Source organism: Homo sapiens, chromosome 11 (assembly GCF_000001405.40).
Source record: "Homo sapiens chromosome 11, GRCh38.p14 Primary Assembly".
NCBI lineage: Eukaryota > Metazoa > Chordata > Mammalia > Primates > Hominidae > Homo > Homo sapiens.
Genome location: NC_000011.10, coordinates 115,645,237 through 115,669,656, shown reverse-complemented (window position 1 = coordinate 115,669,656; position 24,420 = coordinate 115,645,237). Strand labels below are relative to the sequence as shown.

The window sequence follows — 24,420 nt, the reverse complement described above, 5'->3', positions numbered from 1 at the left end:
AAGTTAAGTCCTTTGACCCTCTTTCCTAGACTATTACAGTAGGCTCCTAACTAACACCCAGGCCTTCATCTGTTCCCTCTTACCTGCTATATCAGAATTACATTCCCAAAGGGTAAAAATTATACCCAATTAGCTGGGTGTGCTGGTGCATGCCTGTAGTCCCAGATACTCAGGAGGCTGAGGCAGGAGGATCACTTGAGCCCAAGAAATCAAGGTGGCAGTGAGCTATAATCACACCACTGCACTCCAGCCTAGGCAACAAAGTGAGACCCCCATCTGTATATAAATAAATAAATAAATAAATAAATAAAATAAGTTTTAAGAAAATTATCCCCAACATTTACGAAGAGCTTACTATACGCCAGGCATTAGTCCAAGCACTCCTCATGTGTTACTTATTTGATCTGCACAACTCAATGCAGTCAGGACTATTTATCATTCCCATTTTACAGATGAGGGAACTGAGGCACAAGGAGAGTAAATAATTTGCCCAGTGTTACATAACTAGGAAATGATCGAGCCAGGATTCAAAATCTGTACGCTTCTTCTTAAATCAAGAGTAGTAATGATCACATTACACCCACTCCTCTCTGAAAACGTTATAGGATCTCACCACCACAAATCCCAGCTCCTTAGAATCCCACGCCTTCAAATCTCTATTCTAACTCCTCTTCCTGCTTGGTATCACCCTCTCTGCCCTCCCCGCATTCCAGCTGAAGGTGCTATGTTTCCTTCCCCAAGCACTACCAGCCTTGGTGCCTTTGTTCTGTGTTCCTTCTCCCTGTGACACCCTTCTGCTATATGCCTACATTCCCCTCTTCTCATCTCCCACCCCAGCCAAAAGCCTGTCTTTGCCCCTTTTGAACTCCTCTTAGGAGAGCTGTATGGTCTGGTGGCAAGCGCATAGGTCTGAGAAACACCAGGTTAGCACACTCACTCTCATTATTGGCTGTGTCACCTTGAAAAAGCAAATTCATGGCCGGGCACTGTGGCTCACGCCTATAATCCCAGCACTTTGGGAGGCCGAGGCCGGCGGATCACGGGATCAGGAGATCAAGACCATCCTGGCTAACACGGTGAAACCCCGTCTCTACTAAAAATACAAATAAATAAATAAATAAATAAATAAATAAATAAATAAATAAAAATAAAAATCAGCCAGGCGTGGTGGCGAGCGCCTGTAGTCCCAGCTACTTGGGAGGCTGAGGCAGAATTGCGTGAATCCGGGAGGTGGAGCTTGCATCTCCAGTGAGCCGAGATCGCACCACTGCACTCCAGCCTGGGCGACAGTGCGAGACTCTGTCTCAAGAAAAAAAAGAAGAAAAAAGAAAGAATGAAAGAAGAAAGAGCAAATTCACCACTCTGAGCATCAGTTTCACTGCCTATGAAAAGGGGGTGATGATAACAGTACTTATTTGCAGGAGTTGTTGGAAGGATTAAAAGAAGTCATTTGGGAAAAGCACCAGCTCCTGCTGGACTCTCAATCAAGGTGAATGTTCTTCCCCTCAGTGTCCTCCTGCATATCATTTATCACTGTCTCCTGGATGTTTTAGCTGTTTGAGTCCTCCAGGAAACCGTAAGTTACTTAAGGGCAGGTATTATGTCCTGTCAGATTCTGAAGTCCCCTTAATGCCTTACTGAATACCAGATATTGTTGCCGTTCAATAAATATTTTCTGGCCAGGTGCAGTGGCTTATGCCTGTAATCCCAGCACTTTGGGAGACCAAGGTGGGTGGATCACCTGAGGTCAGGAGATCGAGACCAGCCTGGCCAACACGGTGAAACTCCATCTCTACTAAAAATACAAAAAATTAGCCTGGTGTAATCCCAGCTACTCAGGAGGCTGAGGCAGGAGAATCTCTTGAACCCGGGAGGTGGAGGTTGCAGTGAGCTGAGATTGCGCCACTGCACTCCAGCCTGGGTGACAGAGGTAGACTCTGTCTCAAAAAAAAAAAAAAAAAAAAAAAGTTTTCTGTTTGAGTCCATTTAAATGCTTGCCCAGTGTTAGCACGTTAGAGAGTGGATTTACCTACCAAAGAAAGTGGATGCAGATGACCTCTGCGTTCCCTTCAGCCTTGAGAGACTAGAACTTAACAGTCCTCCCACTAAAGAGAACTTGTGCAAAACACAAAACTCTTTGTCTATCTTATTCTCATTGTCAACAGTAATGTCAGCTTGAGGTCACACTGACTCTTCAAATCTGTTTCTAGCCCATCCCATTTTTCTCCTCCACATTATTTTTTCCAGGGTCCTTGCATTTCCAGTCCACACCAGGAAGCTGAAGTTCTCCAGCAGCCCCATACCACGGCTGCCGCTGGTGGAGAAGTCAACCCGGCAAATAGAAATGTCACTCAATCATTTCCCTGCACTTTCCTCCCATTGCCCTTCCCCACCGCGTATAATGAGAAACTCTTTTTGCCCAAATATTGTTTGAGTTTCAAATACACAATTTCCCTGGTGGTGACCAGATGAAAAGAGAAATCTGGTTTGCAACATAAGACCTCTTTGTGGAAGTCGCATTGAGCGAATACCGAAACTAAATTTTTATTGAGCCCCTTGAAATGACAGGAGCACATCAAGGCAACCAAACTCCTTTTTCACTGTGGTAAGCTTAAATTATTTTAAGGGAGCACAAAGGAAGTACCCCTCAAGGTGGGAGAAAAGAAGGAAAGGACTTTAAATGCAGTGGGCAAGATGGTAAATCTGCTCATGGTATCTCATCCATTCCTAGCAATGTCCCAGCACAGGCCTTCCTATGCGTGGACTGTCCACAGCTGGGCTTCTTAACTGGGGGAGGGGGTCCTAGGAGCCTCTAGGGCAATGATTCTCAACCCTGGCTGCTTTAGGGATCTCAACCCTGGCTGCATTAGAATCACCTGGAACTTTTTAGGAAAAAAAAAAAAAAACTAACTAATGCCCAAACCCCACCCTAAAAAAATTAAATGAGAATATCCTTGTATAAGGCCCAGACCTCAGAATTTTATTAAAAGGTCTGAGATAATTCAAAGGTGCAACCAGGGTGGAATGTGTACATAGACTTGGAGGATGTTACCCGCCTGAAGAAGCAGGTAAATTTTTATATGCATGAGAATATGTGTGTTTTGCTGGGAGTGAGGGGTCATAACTTTCAGACAATTCTTAAAAACATCTGCAGCTCAAAACAGGTCTTAATAATAGGTCTGCAGCTTGGTGTCTCGAGTTCCTTCCAGCTGGAAAATGATGTGCATGTAAGATTTGGTTATTAAGGGTTAGATGTTAATGGGCAAGAAAAAGGCAGGTCTCTGGTTCCTGAAAGAATGACCCTTGTTGATCTGGATCCCAGATGGCAAGAAACTGTCAATGAGGGGCCCAGGGAGATTGGTAGGGGATAAAAGACCCACTGAAAAATAGAGCGATGTGTTCTTGCAGGGAAAAACTGGGAACTCAGTGCAATTTATGATTGAGGCAGCCCTGCCTGTGACTCAGCTGACAGCTGTGCCCAGCTTGGCCTCTGAATCTGGACACCAGAAGCCAAGTCTATAGAGAGGGATGACTGTCCAGGATCTCTTATTTTGGGAGCTCCATATTCATGGCTGATTAGTGCACTTCATAAAACTGGCCTGAGCACCAGCTTCTAAGTGTGCATTGAGGGACTGGAGGGAGGCAGCAGGCAGAGGTTGGGTAAAGAGGAAGGTCCAAGCCTCTGAATAATGTCCACAAGACTAGAGAAGCCCCTTGGAGCCTGCAGCACCTTCAGAACTGAATTTCAATAAATCCAGAGGGGGCTTAAGATTTGTGTGAATATCTAAACTGTGCTGACAGCTAAAGGAGGAAGGGGTAGGGAGGGAAAATGATCTGTTCGCCAGCCCCCAGCAGTGCTCCCTGGGCACTGGAGGCCACTCTGTCGTGAACGTCACTGGCCCCCCTCCTCTTACCCACCAAGGGCCTGGTTGGATCTCTGAATTTGGGCTCTGCCAGCATCAGCCAGCCCCGCCTGTAGCAGCGCTATAGCACTACCCCTGCCAAAAGGCAAGAAGGCCAGCACTGGGGCTTCCCAGCCCCAAGTCAGCTGCCTAAGTGCTCAGCCCTGCTCATGAAAGGGACCCCTCTTCCTCTCTTTTCAGCCCTGTGCTCTAATTTATCCTCCCCTTTGATAACCAACTCCAAACACATTCAGCCGAGGCCAGGCCATCAGTGCACAAAGGCCTGTGCTCTCTCGGCTGAATGCAGCACTTCACTCTTGGGGGGATTTCTATAGAAGGCAAAATCCACCAAACAAGCTATTACACTTAAATCAGACAATGCCCGAGGTGACGGCGAGGAGACCAGCGTTAATGACTCAGCTAGCAGCGGGCTTCTCTATTTTATAGCTCTACCACAGCATGAGAGAGCAACCCGCTGCCCTTCCCAGCCTCTGCCAGATCCATCTCCTCCTGCTCCGGGACTAGAAAGTTGACCCGCCATGTCTGCTGGTTCTCTGAATCCTGAGGGTGAATTCCCCCTAGGCCCACTTAGACTCACTCCTGATTCCCTCTTTGCCTCAGAAAAAGAATGGAGGAGTGAAGTCCTGTCTGCCCCCTTCTCTCTCTTTCATTCCAAAGATGAGGAAACCATGGTAACTGTTGACAGTCACAGAGTCGGCTGGTGACACAGCCAGGATTAGAACCCTTGTCTCTCATCTCATTCAATTAATACAAGAGCTAATATAAATTAGATGATGCATGTAAAGTACTTAGCGTAGTTTCTGGCACACCAAAACACTCAATAACTATCAGCTGTTCTTACTTGTAGAGGCATCACTTTTATACAGTTTATTTATTTTTATTTTTATTTTTTTGAGACAGGGTCTCACTTTGTCACCCAGGTTAGACTGCAGTGGTGCAAACATGGCTCACTGCAGCCTCAACCTCCCGTGCTCAAGCAATCTTCCCACCTCAGTCCCCCAAGTAGCTGGGACTAGAGGCGCACACCACCACGCCTGGCTAATTTTCGTATTTTTTGTGGAGATGAGGTTTCACCATATTGCCTAGGCTGGTCTCAAACTCCTGAGCTCAAGCAATCCACCTGCCTTGGTCTCCCAAAGTGCTGGGATTACAGGCATGAGGCCTTATATAGTTCATTCATCTATTTATGGAGTGCCTATCACGAGGCAGGCAGTCTGCAGGGTGCCTGGAATAAAACAGTGAGCATGACAAGTCCTGCCCTCCTGGAGGATCTTCTAATGTGAGATTCAAACAGGTCAATAGGCAGATGCAATACAGAGTGATAGGCCATAGAATAGTGAAAGTAATGGGTGCTTTAGGAGGTCAGAGGAAGGGCATCTAATCCAGACTTTGAGGCTCACTGAGAGAACTGGTATGTCACTGAGACAGAAGGCAATGGGTCCAAGTTAACCAGGGGAAGGCAGGTGGGAATGAACCGGACGAGTTGGGGTAGATAGAGATTTCTAGGAGGAGGGAATAGTCGAATGTGCAAAGGTGAATGACAGCAAGATGAATTTAAGGAAATGAAAAAGTCAGTAGGCCAAGAAGATTGGGTAAGATGGGGCAAGGACTCAGTGGCACAGGGAGGGAGGCCGATGGCCAAGAACAGAGGCACAAGTCATCTCATGAGGCCCGTGGTGAGCCATAGAAAGGAGCCTGGACTGTATCCTGACGAGTAAGGGAATAAGATCCAAGAACACAGGACCTATTGCGGAAACTGGATTGGAGAGCAGCTGCAGTGAGACCAGGGAGCAGGTCCAGGCACCAGCTTGGCACTTGTTCCGCATCCCATTTCAACACGTTACTTGGTTCTAATCTTGACTCAACAAATAAGGCCCCCCCATTAAGACAACTCATGAAGGGGAAATAAGTGGAAAAAAGACAACTACAGCCACAGAAGCCAAGAAATAGAATAATGGGTTTGGTTTCCCTGGCCACTTGAGTCATTACCCAAAAAGCCTTCAGCACCATTCAGTGAGATCAAATTCTTTTCCACCAACCAGATGTGTGAATTTCAGCAACCTCCATTTCCCCATCTGTACAACGAGGACAGTTCACCAAGTAATCGATAAACTGCCTTACAGTTCTCACATTCTATGCTTTCATGACTTGAAATATATATCACATATTTTGATTCTAGGATGTCTTGTTTTGCATTTTAATGTTTATAAAACCAGGACAAAATCGTTCTCATCTTAAAACAGAGCAGACACAGTTCATCAAAATCAGGTAACCTGCACAATGATCAAAGACATTTCCTCCTCTGGGTTCTCATCATTGAGTCCAAGAAAGGACCAGCTTTGACACCAGCCAGGAAAAGCTGCTTGGGAGCTGCGTTCCTGAGCTGCTCCAGCCTTTCTGAGCTGCCTGTGCACAGACCCACGGTCTTCAGGAGACCCTCTTTCCCAGGCCCTCTGCCCTTAGGCCTGCAGGGGTAAGGTTTTGCAGAAAGCTACAACCATCTCTCCTTGCCCAGCAGCTCTGGCAGCTGCTAAGGTAGAGGCCAAAGCTCCAACGGTTTTGGGCAGGTGAACAAAACAATAAATTCAGGCTGGTGTGGGAGAAGAAAAAAAAAAAAAACACTTCAGAGCTGTTTTTGGCTGGAAAATGCTCTCCATCCTGTGGCTTTAGGACACAGGCAGCATAGCATCCAGAGGCGCACAGCTGCATGGAACAATATAAAAATTGCCTTGTTGGACTACAACATGCCAATTTTTCAAATCTAGAGCCATTTGCACTATTACAGTGTATGCAACCTAAGCTGGGAGAATTTTCTTCTGGGAGGGAAAATTGATTCCGAGGTTACCATTAACCCCCATTATCACAGCACGCCCCATTCCAAAACTATTCTTGGGAACCAAGGGGGCTACAGGAAACTATGGAGGCCCATGGCGAGGTTGATGCCCAACATCACAGGTGCTAACAGCCAAAGTCCATTAGCCCCATGTCTCAGAAGGGCATGAAAGTGAGTGAGATGGAGAAGGGGAGAGAGAGGGAGCATAAAAGAATCGGTGGCCTGGTGTGACGGCTCACAGCACTGGTAATCCCAGCATTTTGAGAGGCCAAGGTGGGTGGATGGCTTGAGCTCAGGAGTTCGAGACCAGCCTGGGCAACATGGTGAAACCCCATCTCTACAAAAAAATACAAAAATTAGCCGGGTGTGGTGGCACATACCTGTAGTCCCAGCTACTCGGGAGGCTGGTGTGGAAGGAATGCTTGAACCCAGTAGGCAGAGGTGGCAGTGAGCCGAGATTGCACTACTGCACTCTAGCCTGAGTGATAGAGCAAGACCCTTTATCCAAAAAACAAAAAACAAAAAAAAGATCTGGGTATGTGTTTTCCCAAGAATTCCTAGGCTTTGGAAGTTTCCCTGCATCCCTCACTTCATTTGTATGGGTTGGGAACTTGGGTGAGCTGAACAGCAGGAACCAAGGCTAACACCTGCATAAGACCCTTTTCATTTTGACATGAAGTCCTGCCTGGTAACTGCCCTCTCCAGCTGGGGCCAGAGCCTGGTAGAGGAATGTTCTCCAGGAGTTTGGCTTAGAGGCTGCCCATCCCATTTTCATTCCTATACCCAGCTGTTCTGGGCCCAGGTGTGGGGACCCAGGGGCAGAAGGCTACTGGCTTGTCCATTCCAGGTGCTATGTATGGAAAATCACTCCAACCCATTCTAAGCACAGTCAAGAGCCTTTATTATGGAGTGTGCTATGACCTCCACCTTCCCAAACCCACCAGCCCAGCCAAGAAGGTAGTGGTGATAGTGGCTGCTGCAAAACAAGAAGAGAAAGACAGCTGTGTGGACAAAGGAGGCAGCAGGTGACCTTGGAGAGCAGCAAAGCCACTGATCTCGCCATCCTTACCTTGTCATTACATAGCAGTCAGTACTGGTCTTGAATCTAGAAAGCCCAAGTCTGAATTCTGAGTTGACCTTGGACTAATTACTTACTCTCTCTGAGCTTGTTTCTTTTCCTATGGTCTGGAAGTAAAAATAAACACCTAGCAAAGATGTTGTCCACATTAAATGACATAATGTGGGAAAGAAGTGACAAATAATGGTTGTTCAACCAATGTCAAATATCTATATGATATATATTGCATTGTCCCTGTGAATACAATGTAATACAATGTTCCAAGTGGCTCAGTCTTCATATATAAATATATTTAATAAATTAGTTAATTATGAGAGGAATTGGATACATACAGTATATATCAAATGTATATATATATATATATATATATATATATATATATGAAAGAAACTCAGCATCCATTCTATTTTTTTAATTCTTATTATTTTATTGTTATTTTTTTGAGACAGGGTCTCCCTCTGTTGCCCAGACTGGAGTGCAGTGGTGTGATCACAGCTCACTGCAGCCTTAACCTCCCAGGCTCAAGTGATCCTCCGACCTCAGTCAAGTAGTTGGAACCACAGGCACACATCACCACACCGTGCTTATTTATTTGTTTGTTTGTTTGTGTGTTTGTTTGTTTTGTAGAGATGAGGTCTGCCTATGTTGCCCAGCTGGTGTCAAACTCCCAAGCTCAAGTGATCCCCCAGCCTCAGCCTCCGAAAGTACTGGGATTACAGGCAGGAGCCACCATGCTCAACCCTAGCATCCATTCTAAAATGTGTCTCTGTTGTTCATAGAAGACATAGATTCATTCTCCTTGGCACAAGGGTTTGCTTCGGATTCTGGGTGTTGTGGCTACATCACTGGCCAGCTCTGAACTTTAAAAGTTCCTCCCGCCTGCCCCCATACCTTTTCTAGGACCACCAATAAGCCCTCCTCCTCCTCTCCCGGGATGCCGCCTGAACACATGGCTGACCTCCTCTCCTCCCTAGAGTGACCAGTCTTCCAGAAGCATATTGCAGAGGAAGGCCTTGATGACTTGGAAGTACTGGAGAGGAATGCACTCCAATTCAGCCCAACATTCAAAGCATCTGCCAGTGCTGGGCCCTGGGGCACAAGATGAGCAACCTAAGGGTTGCCAGGCGAGCGGAGGTATCAGATACACACACAGCTCATTCGAGCAATAGGTGAGTGAGGGCAGGCGCGCCAGGAGGAAGCCGGACAGATGGGGTTCATGCGGAAGGAGGCCCAAGGAGGGCGCCCCCAGGAGTGGACACAGCCGTTGCTTCCGTGCCCGCCAACACTGGGAAGCTGACCTCTCTTAGTCACCGGGAGATTTGTGCAGGAGGGGAGGGGTGGGGAGAGCAGGGCTAAGTGCTGACGGGACGTCCCTGTCAACACAATGTTCTGCCTGGCCGGGCCTTCATATATAAAGATATTTAATGAATTAGTTAATTAATGAGAGGAGTTTGATTGATAGATCATATGGCGCTCGCAGCAGGGTGAGTCTGACCCCGATATCGCCGCCTCGGCTGCAATCCGTCCCCCTCACTGGTCGGGAGAGCGCCGTCGCTCCGGCAATTTGCATGCATTTAATGTAGCTCTTTAATAGGATGTAATGTTAGCGAAAGCCAAAAGCGCAGCAGCTGTAACTTAAAAGACAGCCCCATTACTGCAAGCCTTATAATTAGGGTAAGAGGGAGACTCGGTCTGCCATATGTTAAACTCTTTTGAGGTTAATAGCTCTGTAAGATTTTTGCAATTTAAAAAAATTACACTTGAAGGATGATGACAAGGCTCATCAATGAAGCGCCTCTTCACTGGAGGGAAGGGACAGAAGGATCCCATGTCCCCCAAGGTCCCCTTCCTTGGGGACATGGCGAGGTGGCCCCTCTCCTCCCGCAAGTCGCCCAGACTCCCTTCCTTCTTTCCTCTCTGCACCAGCTTCCTGCACCCGGCCCCATTAGCGCAAAGCTGCTCTCTCACTCCGTGGAGTTGGATCTCTACCCCCGCAGCCTCTGCTTCCGCAGGTCCCCGGCATCCGGCCCATCGGGGGCGGGCGCAAGGCGCTCCACCGCGCGCCCCAGGGCCAGGGAGAAGCGCCGCGCGTGCTTACCTTGCAAACTCGCAGGCAACTCCAGAGCAATTACGGGTCCCCGCAGGTTACCTGGAGCTGATTGCACAGCCGGGGGCCGAATCAGGGAACACGCAGCGGGCACTGCCCGGGGGGGCGGGGGGAGGAGAGGAAATCGCCGGGAATTTGCTTGGTAATTACTTGGCACAAGCCCCTGGAGGTGTTTGCCCCCTCTGTGCTACAGCCCACACGGCTAAGGGACGCGACAGCGGTGTGGAGCCTGGTCCTGGGCCTGAGGGAACCGAAGCCGGCAAGTGGACCCTGGAGCGCTGCCGTCTGTGTCCCAGCTGCGACATGTAACAGGAAGGCCTCCCGCCCGCTCCCCGCGAAGAGCCCAGCTGCACCCTCCCGGTCTCTGGTGTCTTTCCCGAGTGTCCCTTCCCCGTGGCCCGAGAGCACCGGGTGGGGGACGGTCATAGGGGAGTCGCTGTAGAGATGGGAGATGGTCTCTGGAGACTGAAGCAGCCTCCTCCCGCAGGGTCCCCTCCCACGGTCTGTGCTCGGTGGGGGAGCAGGGGAGAGCCGCCTGCTAGGCAGATTCTCTCCCCCAGGAGTTCTGTCTCCTGTGTCCTTCCCCTCCCCCTGGCTCCCTTGCGGAGCGCGTGGGTGTCGGGCCAAATTCCTGATGACAGACACTCCAGACAAAACAACAACAAGGGACTGACAAAAAGAAATCCCTCTTATTTTTTTGAAAGGGGGCCCTTGTTAGAAAGAAACTACAGGAGCGGTAAAATTACTACTAATTGCACAATTATCTGATTATCTCTGGTACCAAAAATACATGAGATCCTTTCCACCTCCCAGCTACTTAAAGAATTCTCAGGGACACTTCTTGGGGAAGCAGACAGATCGCGCTTGTCAAAACCTGGAGAGACCAAAGGATGTAAGGAAAGGGGATGTTTGGGTGAGGGTGGCAAAGGGAATCACATGTAGATCCCTAGGGAGTAGAAGAAAAAGTTTAGAACAGGCTGGGGAAGAAATGGAATGCAGGAGAGAGGCTGGCAGAAGATGGTGATGGCCATGAATTATATAAATCACAGCTAAAAGAGCTTATGAGATCGTTTAATTCCAACATTATCCCTATTCTGAAAGTGAGATCCATAGAGGTTAGGCCACTTGTCCAAGCACTTAGGAGCTGGAAGGTGTGGAGGAATGAGGGTGGACTGTGGTGGAGGAGATGGGGGGCTGTTCACACCTAGCTCAGGCCCAGCACAGTGGGTCACACCTGTAATCCCAGTGCTTAAGGAGGCTGAGGCAGGAGGATGGCTTGAGCCCAGGAGTTCGAAGCTGCAGTGAGCTATAATTGTGCCACTGCACCCAAGCCTGGGCGACAGAATGAGACCCTGTCTTTTTTTTTTGAATTATTTTTTTCAGAGATAGGGTCTTACTCTGTCACCCAGGCTGAGTGCAGTGGCACGATCTTGGCTCACTGCCACTTCTGCCTCAGGGCTCAAGTGATCCTTCCACCTCAGCCTTCCAAGTAGCCGGGCTTACAGGTGCGTGCCACCATTTCCTGCTAATTTATTTGTGTTTTTTTTGTAGAGGCGAGGTCTCCCTATATTGCCCAGGCTGGTCTCAAATTCCTAGGCTCAAGCAATCCTCCCACCTCGGCCTCCCAAAGTGCTGAAATTACAAGTGTGAGCCACCTAGCCTGGCAGACAGACCCTGTTTCTTAAAAATAATAATAATAATAATAATAAATAAAATTAGGCTATCTTTTACACCCTCACTACCTTTTTGGGACAGAGATAATGGTCAGTTTCTGTGGTCAAGGTAGAAGAAACCTTTGTATTATACATCTTGATATAAAATGCTACCTACTGGTAGCTACTAAAAGTGAACACAACACAATAGCAATAGCTAACTTTTGTTAGTGCTTTGTGGTTTATAAAGCATTCCCATCTGCTTTCTCACATAATTCTCTCTTCTACCCTGTTCTTTCAGTACCCTTCCATTTTCAAATGACTTAAGCAAGACTTAGATGGTTAGGAAGGAGAGGATGCTGAGAGCTAGTTCGATAAGTGGATAGGCGGAGGCCAGCCTCTCTTCCTCTGAGAGCCTGCTTAAGTCTCTAAAATGGTTCGGATCTGTGTCCCCACCAAATCTCGTTATATTGTAATCCCCAATGTTGGAGGTGGGATCTGGTGGGAGGTGGTTGGATCATGAGGGTGGATTTCTCATGAATGGTTTAACACCATCTCCATGCTGTTCTCATGATAGTGAGTGAGTTCTCTAGTTGGTTAAAAGTGTTTGGCTCCTTCCCACTCTCCAGCTCTCTTGCTCCTGCTCTGGCCCTGTGGCATGCCTGTTTCCCCTTTGCCTTTGGCCATGATTGTAAATTTCCTGAGGTCTCCCCAGAAGCTGAGCAGATGCCAGCATCATGCTTCCTGTAAAGCCTGCAGAACTGTAAGCCAACTAAACCTCTTTTCTTTCTAAATTGTCCAGTCTCAGATATTTCTTTATAGCAATGTGAGAAGGAACTAACAGCCTCTCACAGCTTCTCCCCAGAAGTCTCACAACATGTCACGGGAACACCTAAAGTTCTGGGCCCAGCATCTTTGCAGTGTATCTCAGAGCCCTCCCTGGGGAGAGAAGCCAGGGTTTGAGGGATTTCTCTACTTGGGATTGATGGCATGTATATAAGGGGCTGAAGCTAATTTTCATGATTTTCTTTATGTTCACTACTTCTTTTAAGTCAGTGGCTCGGGCGCCTTTTGCACTTGGTTGTGGTTTAGTCATCTGGTGCTACTTTCCCATGGGAAGGCGCTTAGGTCACTGGCGACACCTCAGCTCCTTGATGGGAAGAGGTGCTGCCAAGCTGTGCGTGCAAAGTCCACAGTACTTCCTGTATTCCCTGCCTCCTACCTCACTAACCAATCAGGGTTAGGAGTAGAACTCCTCACAGTGCTTTCCATCCTCCCTGCTGCCACTGCTCAGGAGGGCAGAAGTGCAGAGGCACCACCTCAATGAGCCTTGGGAATGCCAAGCAGAGTCGAGGGCCACTGAAGCTTCCCAGTGACTCCTTAACAGTCCAGGCCACTGCTCCATAATCACCACATCCCCACCATGCAGCCCCCTGCAGAGCACCGATGGCTGCTTGAGAATTACCATCCGCAGATCAATAGTGGGGCGATTACTGGGTCTTGCACGCAGCCAGCAGGCCTCGCTCTGGAGGAGTGTGGAGACGCATGCGGGAACATAGGTTCCCTTTATTAGGGCAGCTGGATTCCAGGTGAGACCAAAGCAAGCCTAGAGACTCCCAGGAGGGGGACTGGGAGGCTTTTGTGGAGCCATGGCTCTGAACTGAGGAGTGAGGAAGAGAGAAGTGAATTGGCCTAAGATGGTCTCTGCCTATCTGCCTATCTGCACAGCTAATCAGCTCCCAGCATCCTTTCCCTGTACACACAGCCCACTTAAGAGAAGTTAATGAAAAGTAAACAAACTGATTCTTCCTATCAACTACCCCTTGATAGAAGGTCCCTTGGGCTGAAGAGGTCAATCCTCAGAAAAGCAGGATGTCTGAGGCCACAGCAGGCACAGAGCTATAGCTTAAGGCTATCTCTTGATAAGAGCTTCTTCAACAAAGGCTGCAGGCTGTAGGGAAGCTCCTTCCCCTAAGACTCAAGCCCTCCATTTACCCATCAGACACCATCCCTGTGATACAGACGCCAAGAACAGAAAGACAATCTGACTTATCCTTCTAGGAGTCTATAGTCTTATGGGAAAAATAGAAACATGACCGCTAGACTTGAAGAATATTAGACATCTCCAAGTTCAACACCCTGAAATTACAGAGGGGAGGAAACAGAGGTCTGGAGAGTGAAATGACTTGAGTAAGGTTTCCCAGCTTCCAGGGTCCGATCTGCACCTGGTGGCCTGACTCCCACTCCAATGTTCTTCCCACCACGAGGCAGAATGAAGCAGGTGTCAGCCTCTGTCTCCGAGCCTCGCCAGAGAGCCTATCTCCTTTGCCTTTGCCTAGCCCTGGCCACCTTCCTCACCTGCTTCTTTCTTCCAATTTCAAATGCATGATTAACAGCCACTCCTCAATCCCTCCTGCTCAACCAGAGGTTTGGGGTTTCATTTCCACCCAGCAGAGGAATTGATAACATTTAAGTTATTCAAGTTAAAAAGAAACGTCCTCCTCAAAACCATCTGTTCTCGGGGAGGAGAGCCTTGACCAGGAGAGACGTAGAGAAAGTGGGGACAGGAACAGAGCGGGTACAGGTGGGGAAGAAGGTTGATGAACCACAGCTGGAGGCCTCCCCTGGTCCAGTCTGCCTTCTTTGTCGAAGAAGATGGGGTAGGGTTCTCCTTGCTGGTCTTCTAACATGCAGGACAAGCTCCTGCCTCAGGACCTTTTCATGGGCTGTTCTGTCTAGATTCCCCAGATATCAGCACACCTCACTCCTCCACCACCTCTGAGTCTTTGCTCAAAGGGCACCATGTCAGTGGAGAACTACCATGACCTCCCTACTTAAAACTGCAATACCCTTCCCCCAGAATTCAGTGTTCACCACCTCCCTTACCCTGCTTTCTAGTTCTCTCTAACACCTAATGACTTCTAGTTTAGTATTTAACTGATTTATTCATCATGTCTTTTGTGTGTTTCACCTCTGCCACTACTAGAAAGCAAGTGTTGAGAGGGCAAGGGTTTCGTGTGTTTTTTTCATCGTACCTAGAATACTGCTGAGCATATAGTAGATGCTCAATAAATATTCGGTCAAGGCATGAATTAAGTAGTGAATCAAGAGTCTTCAGATATGAGGGCTGGGAGAGACCTTGAAGATAAACTAATCTCTAACTCTCAATTTGCGGGTGATGAAAATAAAAGCCAGAGAGAGTTTTGTAGAGAAGGTGATGTTCAAGCAAGGTTTTCTTTTCTTTCCTTTGTTTTCCTCTTTTTCAGCTCTTTCAGTTTGTGCATTTGTTCATTCATTCATCCTTTCACTTATTTATTCAGAAAATATTTATTGGACACTACAAAGTACTAATCACTGCATAAAAATAATATTTGAAATTTAAATTATTAACCATCAAAAAAATAAGTATTATATTTTAATGTAATATTGATCACTTTCTTCCAGACACCTTGCTAAGCGCTTTACATCCATTATTTCATATGAACAACCATACACACTATTATTGGCCTCATTTTGCAGATGATAAAATTAAGACTAAAGACACTGCATGGCCTGCCCTAGCCACACAGCTAGAAAGTGGAGGAGGTGAGACCCATGCTGAGGCCTGTTTGACTCCAAACTTCTGTGCTGTACCACTGCATCTTGTCCCCGCTCCCCACTCTTTCTTTTTCCTTCCCATCTCTGGGATCAAACCAAATGGCCCAATCGAGGCGGCAGAAGAGTCAGCCAAGGTCACCCCGAGCTGAACCCTTTTGAGGCCACACAATCCTGCCACTCCACTGGCTCCCTTGAAGCTACCTCTCCCTGTCCCAGCTGTTCTCCTAGTCCCGGCCCCACGCTCCAAGTCCCATATACGAATGCTGGTATGACTCACAGCGCCAAGATCGGTCACTGGGAAAGAGGACTCATAAAACCTTACAGCAGTTTTATAATGTATTCTTAGCTTTTACAGGCGTCCTGGGCGGCCGAGGCTGGGTGGATGGGCGGGCCCCATAGACCCAGAATTGGTGAGAACCGCTACCATGTGTGTGTGTGTGAAGACAGCACCGTCTTTTAGCTGCCTGATAGGGGAAGGGCAATACAAGAAATGGCATTTCTTCAGCTCTTTACAGTTTAAAAAGCACTTTCACGTGTAATGCCCACCAGATAAGGAAGGTATAATTTCAGAGTCACAGGTAAGGAAACTGGTACAGTGCCAGGACTTGGAATTGGGCTTTCCTTCCTGAATTCGGATTTGGTGCTCTGTTCCTGGGACCAGCTGGCATGGCACTAACTCTCAGTGACCTCAGCTACGTCTGTCCACAGAGAGAGATCCTAGGCAGCAGCATCCTCAGGTAAGGGGGAAGAGTCACCTAAAGTCGACACTGACACAACCACGGGGTCTCAGTCCAGGCCCTGTTACCAGCACATCCCAGAGCAGCCTCTGAGTACATTTCTGCTACCGACACCCAAGGATAGGGGATTTTTCACCCACATCTGTGCTGCAGAAGTCCTAGCTCGACTCCTTCACCTCCCTTCATGCTCCCCTGACTATGTTCTGCAAGCCACCCCACCTTTCATGTCCAGTGCAGACCCTCATTTGTGCCAGGCAAGGGGGCTCAGGGCAATGATGCAGTAACGATGCCTCACAGTTGTAATCACCCACACTATCTCATTTATTTGGATTATTCCTGAGTTCCTAATGAAAAATAAGTAAAGTGGGTCTTGTCATCCCTCTTTTACAGATGAGGTAACAGGTTCAGAGAAGTCAAGCAATTTTTCATATGTCACATAGCTGGTGACTAAGAGAAACAGGATCTGAATCAGGTATTCTGACTCAACTCCAAGTTTCCCTCTTCTCTTCAGTAAATTTCTGATAGTCCCAGCTTGCCTCTAATTGTTCAGTCTGACAATATTTCCAATTCAATGGATTTCCTGTTTCCTCCAAAATTGAAACCTGGAGCTGACTCTGTTAGCTACTTTGGTCCAGAATGGGCATTTTTGAGCTTGTGAGTTTTTGAGAGTGCAGCTGGGCGGTATTCCTTAGGTATCCATTTCCTTACCACTGACACTAACACCAGCCCCCAGTAACACAACAGGCACCTCTAAGATCGTCTCACTTAGGCCTAAGCAAGGGACCCAGTTAATTCTCCTTAATCCTCCATTTATGGATCACTAGCCCTTCCATGCAGGAGAACACCTAGCATGGTGTATTAGTCCATTTTCACAGTGCTATAAAGAAATGCCCAAGACTGGGTAATTTATAAGGAAAAGAGGTTTAATTGACTCAGAGTTCCGCATGGCTGGGGAGACCTCAGGAAACTTATAACCATGGTGGAAGAGGAAGCAGGCACCTCTTACATGAGGTGAGAGAGTGTGGAAACTGTCACTTATGAAACCATCAGCTCTCGTGAAAACTCACTATCACGAGAACAGCATGGGGGAAACTGCCCCGTGATCCGATCACCTCCCACCAGTTCCTTCCCCCAACACATGGAGGTTACAATTCGGATTGCAATTCGAGATGAGATTCGGGTGGGGACACAGCCAAACCATATTACATGGTTTCAATTGTCTTTCCCTGGAAACGTCACCATGAGGCTTCTCCAGCACTGGTTCCTTTATAGCATCCAGCTCCTTGTGTGGTAAACAGGACCCTGCACTAATCTGGCCCCCTCCTGCTCCAGGAGCCTCATGTATCTCTGTGCCTTGTCCCCCACTGTGCCCCAGTCACTAGCACTGCCTGCAGCCTGTCCAGGGACCCTGCTATCTCACCCTCCTTCCACACTGCTCCCTCCCACCTGGACTGCTCCCCTACATGGAAGGCCCTACCCAGGCCTCTTGGCCTGGCAAACACCTACTCATCTGTCAGGACACAGCTCAAATGTCACCTCCTGTGAAGTCTTTCCTGGTACACACCCCCATCATCCCTGCCGTAGAAATCCACCACCCCTCCTCTACACAGCCCTCACTGAGCCCTAATTAAAGAACTAGCTCCCCGCTAGGTCTGAGAGCATTTTGAGAGCAGGAGTACTGTTTTATTTCTCTCATCATCTACAAAGCTTATCACAGAGCTTGGTAAACTAGAGATGCTATATGAGCCCTCACTGAATGTAACAACACGTGAATGGATAAACAGTTAGTCAATTCCACATTACCTGTGGAAAGGAAGGAAAGGAAAGCTACACCAACGTGGAGCTTAAAACTTTACCTATGTCTCCATCCACAGATGCCTGGATAAGCAAAATGTGGTAAATAACATACAATGTAATATTATTCAGCCTTAAAGAGGAAGGATATTCTGACACATGCTACAACATGGATGAAACTGGAGGAACTTGTGCTAAAGAAATAAGCCAGTCACCGATAGACAAACATTCCACTTATATGAGGTACCTACAGTAATCAAATTCAGAGATAGAAAGTAGAATGGCATTTGCCAGGAGCTGGAGGAAGGGAATAATGGGGAGTTGGTATTTCATGGGTACAGAATTTTAGTTTTGCAAGATGAAGAGTTCTGGAAACGGATGGTGGTGATGGTTGCACAACAATATGAATGTACTTAACGCTACGGCACTATACACCTAAAAACACCTTTTTTTTTTTTTTTTTTTTGATGGTGGGGAGGGAGTCTCACTCTGTTACCCAGGCTGGAGTACAGTGGCGCAATCATAGTTCGCTGCATCCTTGAACTCCTGGACTCAAGAGAGCCTCTCATCCTAGCCTCCCAAGTAGCTGGGATTACAGGCTTGTACCACCATACCTGGCTTTTTTTTTTTTTTTTCATGTTTTTGTAGAGACATGGTCTGGCTATATTGCCCAGGCTGGTCTCAAACTCCTGGCCCCAAGCGATCCTCCTGCCTTGGCCTCCCAAAGTGCTAAGATTACAGGTGTGAGCCATCAGACCTAGCCAGGAAAACTATTTGGAGCAGGGCATGTCTAGATCTTAGCGGCAGCATTTTCTAGGAACTGGTACCTGTACCAAGCTGGTCAAAACTTTACAGAGCAAGGTGCTAGGGACTTGGTGATCAGGATAGAAAAAAGGGGCAGGGATCATTCAGATAGCATCTCCCCTGAGCGCAGAGAAGGAAATGACGAACAGTTATACTTGTAATATTCGTTAACTCCTCATGGCAACCCTGTGATGTAGGAACCACTATTATGACCTTAAACCTAAAGCAGCTAAGACTCAAAGAAGTCAATTAAGTTGCACAAGGTCACACTGGTTAGTAGCAGAGTCTGGATTTGAATCCAGGTCTAAGTCATTGTTCGTTAACAGGATTCACTGAGGTTCCCTGCCTGGAGGAGGAAAATGAGCAGGATTTGACCCTTGTCTGTTGGAGAAACACATCCTAAAAGAGCACATTGTGATTCTGTGTACTGACAGATGTGTGCCAGGATGCACTGGAAAACAGCGAAAGGCTTGTTAATTGGGCCTGGGGCAATCAGGAAGGTTCCCTGGGGGCAGCAGGGAGGAGTTGCAAGGGGAGGGGGACGGTGGATGGTAGGGGCAGGGAGGAGTGTAGCAGTCTGCCCCTCCCCAACAACTACAGACCATGAGGTCTCAAGTCGTCCCATAGCACTTAGCACTCCAGAGTGGAGTTAAACTCCATTCCAGCTCTCCCCTTCCCCATATAACCAGGGAGAAATTGCATCTGGCCTCTGCTTCACAGAACAGCATTTGGGAGGTATATACATACATACAGTTTTGTTTCTGGACTTGCACAAATGCACAGCTGTTTGTCAGCTTGCAGACTGCATTTCTGAGCTGTTTTGCTTTGAACGCCTCACGCCTTTGGCCCCTGAGAATGCTGGGAAACCAAAATGGCAGCAGCTTCCTTGGCCCGAACCTTGAATTTTTACCAGGACTGTCTCACGGGCATCCTCTGCAACCTGCAGTGGACAGCCAAGGTGCTGGTGGGAACCAGGAAGCCCCCTATGCAGAAGCACCAAGGAGAGAGGGTTGGCAGGAAGTCAGCCTCCCTTCTCCAGCACAAGCCATGAGAGGGAAGGACATTTGAGGATGGAGCCTCAAATGCAGGCTGATTGTAAAGAATGTTTCACACATAGAGCTCCTGCCAGGAAAGCCTGACTCTAAAAACTCCAGTCAATGTGGTACTGGAGGGCTCATTTGTTTAGCACCTATTATTTGCAAACTCTAAACTACCTGCTTTGGGGTTTTTAGTGGTGCCTATACCCTATGAAGTCAACTGACAAGAACCCAACTAACTGTAATAAGAGGAAGGCTCAAAGTCCCAAGAGATGCATCTCAAATGCTGTAAGAGTTCAAGGTGGGGTGGAGGGAGCGAGATGCTCCAACCCTGGTAACATCTCCAGCCGAGCCAGCCTATAAACGCAAATAGCCTAGGGGGCTGCTTTTACAGGAGAGTTGGGAGCAGATTGGATCCGTGACAGGAACCATTATTCTTCTGAAATGGAAGAGGCTATCGCCATAGACTGACCACTCCTCCCCAGGCAGGCAGCTGAAGTTGTCCCAAGCCTTGGAATTAAAAAAGAAAGAAGATGCTGATGCCCCAACTGGTCTGGAAAAACAAGATACAGGCTGGGCAGAAACAAAGCCAGGCTTCAGGATGAGATAGGCCTGGGGCCAATCTTGGCTCTTCGACTTAAAAGCTGCGTGACCTGAGGAATGACACTGAACCTCTCTGAGCCTTAGGTTCTCCATCTATAACATGAGGATGACAATCCTTCCATCACAGGGTTGTTATAAAAATGAAACAAAGAGGTATAATATGTAAAGCCTTTAGCCCAGACCTGGTATGTAAGCACTAACTTATTGATAGCTTGTATTATTATTAGCGTTAGTAGTAGTAGCATCTTTAGTGTTATTATTACTAAGATTTGCCTGGGTGTTCCTTTTGCCCCACTCATAAATTTGCTCCATATCCCGGTAGGTCCTGTGGCCTTGGAAGTCTCCCAGCACTGTGGGGAGATGCCTTATTTCTGAGCTTGGGACATTGGTGAAGGAGCCTGTGGTGCAATGTTGTCATTAGTACCTGATACAGGGTTGTCGTGAGGATCAAAGGAGCTAAACATACATGAAGAGCGTCTAGTAGTTCCTGGCACAGAGGAAGTGACAGTGTGGTGTAGAAGTGAAGATTGAAGACTCTGGAGGCAGACTCAGGTTTGAACCCCAGCATCTATCATTCCTAGCAGGATGACCCTGAGCAAGTTATTTAAGCTGCCTGTCACTCAGTTTCCTCGTCTGTGAACTGAGGAGGGAAATAATAGTGCTCATCCCATGGAGTTGTTGTGGGGATTCAACCAGATAACACAGAGTATTGGACTTGAATCCAAAATACCCAGGTTGGAGTTCTGACTCTAGCAATAAACAGCTGTGTAACAGTAGACAAATGACTTAACCTCTCTGAATCTGTTTCATTGCCTGAAAACTAGAGATACTAATGCCCATTCTGGCCACTGCACGAGGCTCACACCTGTAGTCCTAGCACTTTGGGAGGCCAAGGTGGGCAAATCAATTGAGTCCAGGAGTTCAAGACTAGCCTAGGCAACATAGTGAGATCCTATCTCTCCAAAAAAAAAAAAAAAAAAAGCTGGACATGAGGACATGCCTACAGTCCCAGCTGATAGAGAGGCTGAAGCTAGAGAACGCTTGAGCCCAGGAGGTTGAGGCTGCAGTGAATCATGATCCCACCACTGCACTCAGCCTGGGTGACAGAATGAGACCTCGTCTCAAAAAAATAAAAATTAAAATTAATAAATAAAAATAATGCCCATCTCACTTAACTTGATGGGTTAATGTGAGAATTAAAGCATTTTGTAAACTGTAACAGGTAATAAAAGTATAATAGACAAATGAAAAAGTAAAGTTGTAAAGCAGCATTATAGTTTTCTTAGAAATATTATAACGTATATGTCTTGAGGAAAAGACATATAGATAAACATACGTGCTTGTACAAACATGGAACATTTTTCAAAGACTTTTTAAACTCTTTTGTAATAATTGAATATTTAAAAACAAACAAACAAACATGTTTTCCTCCCACAACTTAAAACTAAAGCAAGGCCGGGTGTGGTGGCTCACGCCTGTAATCCCAGCACTTTGGGAGGCCAATGTGGACGGGTCACCTGAGGTCGGGAGTTTGAGACCAGCCTGGCCAACATGGTGGAACCTCATCTCTACTAAAAATACCAAACTTAGCCAGGGATGGTGGTGTATGCCTGTAATCCCAGCTACTTGGGAGGCTGAGGCGGGAGAATAGCTTGAACCCGCGAGGCGGAGGTTGCAGAGAGTTGAGATCGTGCCATTGCACTCCAGCATGGGTGACAAGAGCGAAACTCCATCTCAAAAAAAAAAAAAAAAGGCAATATCTCTCTGAACATTATGGATTATTAGTAGATTGCCTAGAACTTCAGATACTTTGGGTTTTTGCTTTGACTATGATGTCAAAATGAACGAGGCTGGGCGTGGTGGCTCACATCTGTAATCCCAGCACTTTGGGAAGCCAAGGTTGGAAGATCACTTGAACCCAGGAGTTCAAGAGCAGTCTAGGCAACATGGTGAAACTCTATTCCCACACAAAATACAAAAATTAGCTGGGTGTGCTGGCAAGCACCTGTAGCCCAGCTACTAGGGAGGCTGACGCGGGAGGATCGCTTAAGCCCAGGAGGTTGAGGCTGCTGTGAGCCACAATCACACCACTGCACTACAGCCTGACAGAGCGAGACCTTGTCTCAAAGAAAAACAAAAACAAAAACAAAAGAACCAGCACCCAGCCACATCCCCACTCTTGGCCTCAGTTTTGTTTTGTTTTGTTTTGTTTTGTTATGTTATGTTTTACACTCTCAGAGAGGGGAGTGTGGGCTGACCTCTGCAAGATGAGATCAGCCAGCCTCAGTGTTTTTCATCTGAAAAATGGGATGGCCATTCCCTTTACACCACCAGCTTTATGAGGTTAGGGGTAAGATAAGGAAGTGATACCTATTAAAAATAAAAATGAAGACAAACAAAAACAAAACCCTTTAAGCCAATGTATTGCCTCAAACTTAAAATAGGTGAGCTTCCATACCTATTTCAGGGACAGGTATTGGCCCCCACCCACAGCCCAAGGAAAAGATAAAAAACCACAGGCAGACCTCCTTTTATGGCACTTTGCTTTATTATGCTCCGCAGGTTAGATTTTTTTACAAATTGAATGTTTGTGGCAACCCAGCATTGAGCAGGTCTATCAGTGCCATTTTCCAACAGCACGTGCTGACTTCATGTCTCTGTGTTAGCATTTTTATCAATAAAATATTTTAAAATTAAGGTATACGCTCTTTTAGACATAATGCCATTGCACACCTAATCAACTATAGTGCAAACATAACTTTTATACACACTGGGAAACCAAAAAACTTGTGTGACTTGCTTTATTGCTATATTTGCTTTGCTATGGTTTGGAACCGAACCTGCACCACATCCATGGGTATGGCAGTACTGTTGGTTTTGCCCTGAGGTTCTCCATTAGGATCCATAGTGCCTTTGACCCTACACACAGCCCCAGCAAGCCTAGGCCCCTCCCCTCCCATCCAGACAACCAGGAGAAGAACCAAACCCACAGACAAGTCCAAGGATCCTGAGCCAAGGACTTCCAGAAAGAGCAAACCCTCCGAGGACTGGGACTGGGGACTGATCTAGGACTTCCCTCCTCAACCAGACACCCCTGCACAGTCAAGGCGGGGGAGCCAGGAACCCAGGCTGGGAAAGTGGCCTGGGCTCCCTCTCCCGCCTCGGTGCCTCCCTAGCTAGGGGCCACACGCTCAGAAGCCTCCTGCCCTGTCCCCGCTCCCCTTCCCTTGGGCAGCGGCTGCTTGGTATTCAGGCCACATCACCCTTGCCTGTCTCCATTTGGAAACGGCTGTGTGTGACCTCTCTGTGTGTCTCTCAGTTGCCTTTGTAGGTCGGGGGAGGGAGAGAGAGGCGTCTCCGCATTTACCTAATTAGTGGTAATTAGAAGGCAGGGCCCGGGTGCTCTCCTCGCAGCTGCTCCTAAGGACAGAAGCTGGAGGCTGGAGAGTAGCTCTAAACGGACATTGGGAACACTGTGTCCTAGGGCGCTCTGGCCGGCCACCTCCCTCGGATCCCCTCCGCACTCCCCACGCAGCGGACACGCTCGTATCTCTCCCCACAGCTGCTACTCCCAGGCGTTATTTCTGGGACTAGCCCTGAATTCTCAGTCCCCAAAACAGCAGCCCTGGGATATGTCAACCAGGCCTGGTTCCCATGGTAACCCAAGCCACGCCCCTAGGAGAGAGCCTCTCTGGGTAACGGGCAGGCTGCCTTCCCGGAGAGCGGAAGCTTTGGTTCTAGCTACCCTTGGAGTAGATCCTTGCAAAGCCGAGCAGCGGGGCCAACTCCCACCCTTTGGTTGGGTCCCGATTCCTTTTCAGCTCCCTCGAGCCCAGGCAGCAAGTCCAGAACTCCCGTAGAACCTCAGCTCTGATGGCGTCTCAGCACATCTATCCGTCTTCCGGCTCATCTCAGTAGGTGGAGTGGAATTAAGAACATGGCCTGCTCCACCCCAACATTAGGCACCAGCTGTTTTGTACTGTCCATCCTGTCGATGCTTATTAATGATTCTGATCAACCTCTATGGAGATCCATTATCTCTAAACCAGGGAATGTACTATTAATTCCCATCTGTGCCGGATTACTTACAGTTAGTGGTTGGTAGTTTTCCATGGTCTCACAACACATCTTAATCAGATGGTGAGTGGGTTTAATTAGCCGAAGTATAGGTTGTATTTTTTTTATTCATATAACTACTTAATCTAATGGAAGCCTATTATCTGTGGCTTTTTCCCATGCATAATTATTGCTGTTT

The 24,420-nt window shown here is 47.6% G+C and overlaps 1 long non-coding RNA gene across 1 annotated transcript in view, besides 4 other annotated features; it reads right to left on the bottom strand.

The window, feature by feature from the left end:
• LINC02698 (long intergenic non-protein coding RNA 2698) overlaps positions 1-10,304 on the bottom strand; it is a 242,222-nt gene extending 231,918 nt beyond the window's left edge. Inside the window, exon 1 of the long non-coding RNA XR_001748394.3 lies at positions 9,933-10,304. This is a non-coding gene — a long non-coding RNA (long intergenic non-protein coding RNA 2698). The remainder of the gene's footprint in view (positions 1-9,932) is intronic.
• Positions 3,499-3,998: an enhancer, noted in NCBI's record as "NANOG-H3K4me1 hESC enhancer chr11:115536377-115536876 (GRCh37/hg19 assembly coordinates)". NCBI's record gives its function as "activates a minimal SCP1, AML or CMV promoter by ChIP-STARR-seq in naive H9 embryonic stem cells {active_cell/tissue: H9 hESC(naive)}" and the evidence as "EXISTENCE:reporter gene assay evidence [ECO:0000049][PMID:30033119]".
• Positions 3,999-4,500: an enhancer, noted in NCBI's record as "NANOG-H3K4me1 hESC enhancer chr11:115535875-115536376 (GRCh37/hg19 assembly coordinates)". NCBI's record gives its function as "activates a minimal SCP1, AML or CMV promoter by ChIP-STARR-seq in naive H9 embryonic stem cells {active_cell/tissue: H9 hESC(naive)}" and the evidence as "EXISTENCE:reporter gene assay evidence [ECO:0000049][PMID:30033119]".
• Positions 12,985-13,486: an enhancer, noted in NCBI's record as "NANOG-H3K4me1 hESC enhancer chr11:115526889-115527390 (GRCh37/hg19 assembly coordinates)". NCBI's record gives its function as "activates a minimal SCP1, AML or CMV promoter by ChIP-STARR-seq in naive H9 embryonic stem cells {active_cell/tissue: H9 hESC(naive)}" and the evidence as "EXISTENCE:reporter gene assay evidence [ECO:0000049][PMID:30033119]".
• Positions 23,483-24,123: an enhancer, noted in NCBI's record as "H3K27ac-H3K4me1 hESC enhancer chr11:115516252-115516892 (GRCh37/hg19 assembly coordinates)". NCBI's record gives its function as "activates a minimal SCP1, AML or CMV promoter by ChIP-STARR-seq in naive H9 embryonic stem cells {active_cell/tissue: H9 hESC(naive)}" and the evidence as "EXISTENCE:reporter gene assay evidence [ECO:0000049][PMID:30033119]".